Here is a 4,140-nt window from a genome sequence, read left to right as displayed (position 1 = left end):
TTCAAAGTTCAGAGTCACTGACCCAAAACTACTGTTTCTGTTCCTGGACAGTTCTAGAGATTGAAATAGTCTCGGACATTATGCAAAAATTTTGTTATTGAGCATTTTTATGTTAAGAGGATTCTTAGCTTTTATATGATTCTCAAAGAGACATGTGACCCCAAAATAATTTTAGTTCTAATTTAAGAACATTTCCCAAAATCCACAAGTTTCCCATCTCCTACAGATGCAATAGGAAGGTAAAAGTGCAAGACCAGTCTTCTACATAGGCAGCATCTGACTGCACTTTTAGGGCTAGCCTTTTGTTAAATCAAGGAGATCTCCTGATGAGCCCAATAATCAGTTAGCCAATAACTGTTCACTGAACAACTACTGTGGGCCACAGTTACTGGCTGCTACCAGCCTACTACCATTAAGGAGAGTCAGGAAAAAAAATTCCAATCATACACTCAGTAGCCAGAGCATCCAAGTTCAGATTTTAGCTCTGCCACTTCCCGGCTGTGACCTTGGGCAGGGTACTTTAACTTTCCTTGCTTTAGTTTCCTCATGCATCGGTGAGGTTAATTATAGTACCTGCCTCATATGCTTATACGAATTAAATGAATGGTGTATGAAAAGCTCTGAGAGAGTGTGTGGCCCCACTGAACTCTATTTTCAATATCATTAGCAAGGATTTGTCAGTCCATATACAGACCTCACATCACTGTGTACAGCTTTGGAAGGAATACATCTCGTCTCTTTCATGTCACTGTCTGCTGGTAGAAAGGATGGAAGAGAGATCCATCAGGGTTTCTGTCTTAAGAGGACCTAATAGAGAGGGCCAAGTGTAGTTTCAGACTTTCTGGGTCAAATGCCACATAATCTTGCCATTTAGAATCCACAGCCTATGGTTGTCAAAATTCTGCTAGCCCAACTCCTTGGTAAACTTGGAAGATTTTCCATCAGTATTCCTAGAAGCCCTATCCTAAATCCAAAATGTTCTCAGAAGGTCCCTGCAGGGCCTAAGTAGTACTGGTGTAACTCTAATTCTTGTTCTGCCTCATCTATTGACTTAACGTGCAGATTAGAAGGAAAATCCCTCAACTGTTTGGTGTTTGGGTTTCTCAGTAGAATTATGTTCTATGAGGATAAATGAATAAATATCAAACAACACAATTATTTCTTTCCTTAAGAAGGGAACGCTAAAAGCAATCCATCTATTTTGTTTTTTGTCTCACCTACTCAGCCTGAGAAAATTTTCTCAATGACTCCTTGTCTCCAAATCACTTCCCAACTTATTCCTGGGTTTGGAACAATTTTTATCCCCTCAATTTTTGAGGGAAAAAACCCCACTTTCTCCAGAGAGATTTAGCTAACATAGTAGAATTGTGTTTTCCATCCAAGTTTGCCCAAGAACCATGTAAAACTCATTTCAGCAACATGTCAAGCAATTTTTTAAAGTAATCATTCATTATAACAATAAACTTACATCTTATATATGCCATTTTATGTACATATATTTGGTTGAATGAATATCCTTTCATGTGTCTCCAAATCTGTCTTTTAAAAATGGAATCCATTCTTAAGAGAATTTTTATGTCAGTGACTCTTCACAGGATATTAGCCTAAAGCAGAGGAATACTCAGGATGCACAAAGTTTTGAACATACTAGTTTAAAATATGCTAGTGGGTTATTTGATCAACCTTTTGAAGCAGACTAGGAAGGATCTTGGCATTTGTAATTATTGGTTTAATATCTTCAGGGAGGTAGGAATGTGTCGATCCTGCTTACTCTATGCCCTGAAGCTAGCACAATGTACAACATACACTAAGCTTTAAATATTTATCTAGTAAAAACATAAACAAATGAATTCCAGTTATAGTTACTGATATGATCACAGATGGAATTTGAATCTGCTAACTTTGAGTTTATATTCTAATTGTAACAGGACTTTAAGGATGAAAAATTACAGAAAGCTTTTAGGGAGAACTTGAGCCTAAATATATTATAATTATGAAGAAATGGTGGCATACACAGCAGGGGCAGCCTGAGCAGTGACTGGAGCATGAGAAGAAACTCACAATATCTTCTCTCTCTGCTCTATTACTCTTTGTGCATCTGCTTCATTCTTTCTCCCTGCAAGTTGACTTTAGTTGATACAGAGCATGAGTACATGAATCATGAGTCTTGAGCCATTTATGCTGGAAGTTGCAAATTTTTGTGTGAAAAATCAGACCTTAACGATGACCTTGAGCAGGATATAAATAACTCCCACAAGCTTAGCGTTCTAATAATGGAACACTAGGCATAAATGGGTTAAATCCTAGTGACAGTCACAACCTCTTATCAGCACCCACACATATTCATAAAACCTATGGCCAGAGAATGGGGTAGCAAAACCTTTGTAGCAATCATATCTAGGATCAACATGTTAGGGTCAGTTACTCTGCATAAGACCAGTAACAACAGCAAGGGCCTACCCAGTAACGCTTATAGGAGAACCAATCTCAAAAAGGGAGACTCTCCTTTACCAAACATGAGAAATAGAAGCCTTCATAGTTCCAAGGGACTTTCTCCCTCATGGAAGTAGATGCTGTCAATCCACTCTTTCCTAATTCTTACAAGTTGAGTTTCTTGGCTTGGATGGTGAGACCCAGATTGATACCTATGCAGCTGCTCTTCAAGTTGAATACTATCATTTGCCATCAAAGAATCTTGAGTGATTAGGGTGACCATATAATTTTGCTTCTAAATCAGAACACTTTGAGAGAAGACACTATTAATAATTATACTGGGACAACAGATGTAAGCAGAGAATGTCCCAGGCAAAGTGGGACATATGTCACTTTATGAATAATTCACAAACTGGTATTCTCTGTTTCCACATCCACATGGAGTAACATGATTTTAGTTGATAGCTTCGAGTTTGTATGTTCTCGGGTCCAGGTCCTTGTGAGACAATAATTTCTCTCTTTCAATCCCAATTCCAACAAACCAAAAGACCAATTACTTGTGACCAAGGAGATGAGGTCATATTATACACACATATATAAATAAACCCTGGGAACTCTGCAGCCCTAACACCGTGTGTATTTGTTTTTTGGAGTATAGCGTGGGGAAGGAAGGGTTACAGTTCCAAAAAAAAAAATAAATAAATAAGTTTTTAGGAAGCCAGCTGTTGGGATTTTATCCTGCTTACATAGGTTTAAATACATAGGTGTAGAGAAGACCTAGAAGCCAAAGAATTCCCATCAAAGTAACTATACAATTTAATGAGCTAGCTTGCCACAATTCTATGGATGCTTGAAGAAGACACAAGGTTCCTATGTCAGAGACAAAGAATTTTATTACTCATAGCAAAAGCAGTCACTACCCACCACTACTAAGCTGTAGCCCATAACACTGTTTCCAGCTCTGACACCAACTGGCTGTATTATCTGCAACAAGTCATTTGGCTTTTCAGATATTTAGTCCTCACCTTTATTTTTGCACTAGGTAGACACGGCCCAAAATAGATTTCAAAACTATTTTAAGCAACAGTTCTTGAGAAACTATTATTTTTACTGGGCTCATAAGAGTAGAATCAATTACCCCACATATTTAAAAGGTTACTATGTTACACAATAAACTACAATTTAGTTTGAGATTATAAAGAAGGTATCTGTAATTAAAAGTTATCTGTAATTAAAGTTATAAATAGAAAACAAGATAAAGTGGGCATTGTTCAAATAACACTGGATTCAAAACTTGACCTTTTGTAGAGTCCCGTTACTGTGTTGATTCAGCAGAAAAGCAATGAAGTGTTACATTGTGAATGTGAGTTTGAAACAGGAACCCTCTTGGGTAAATGCCAGTGAACCACACCAAATCCTTTATTTTTTTAAAATCGCCCTCTCAGATTTTTCCAACTGATTATACATATTTGTCCTTTATGCTTCATCAGTTTCTCAACTTGTAGACATAAATAAAATGTTTTGCTCAGTGAATTCATTCAATTGTAGTCACTGTAATTATGACTTTATCTTTAAATGATCCATGTTATATTTTTCTATGCTGTAAAATAATTTAGGATGTATTTGTTGGGAATTTCACTCTAGCTTTTGCAGCAAGGTGAGGTAATGTCACCCAATAGTTTTGCTCTACTTTCACATGGACTTTTT

This window comes from Homo sapiens, chromosome 5 (assembly GCF_000001405.40).
Source record: "Homo sapiens chromosome 5, GRCh38.p14 Primary Assembly".
In the NCBI taxonomy this organism is placed as follows: Eukaryota; Metazoa; Chordata; class Mammalia; order Primates; family Hominidae; genus Homo; species Homo sapiens.
Note: the sequence above shows the minus strand (reverse complement) of the source record.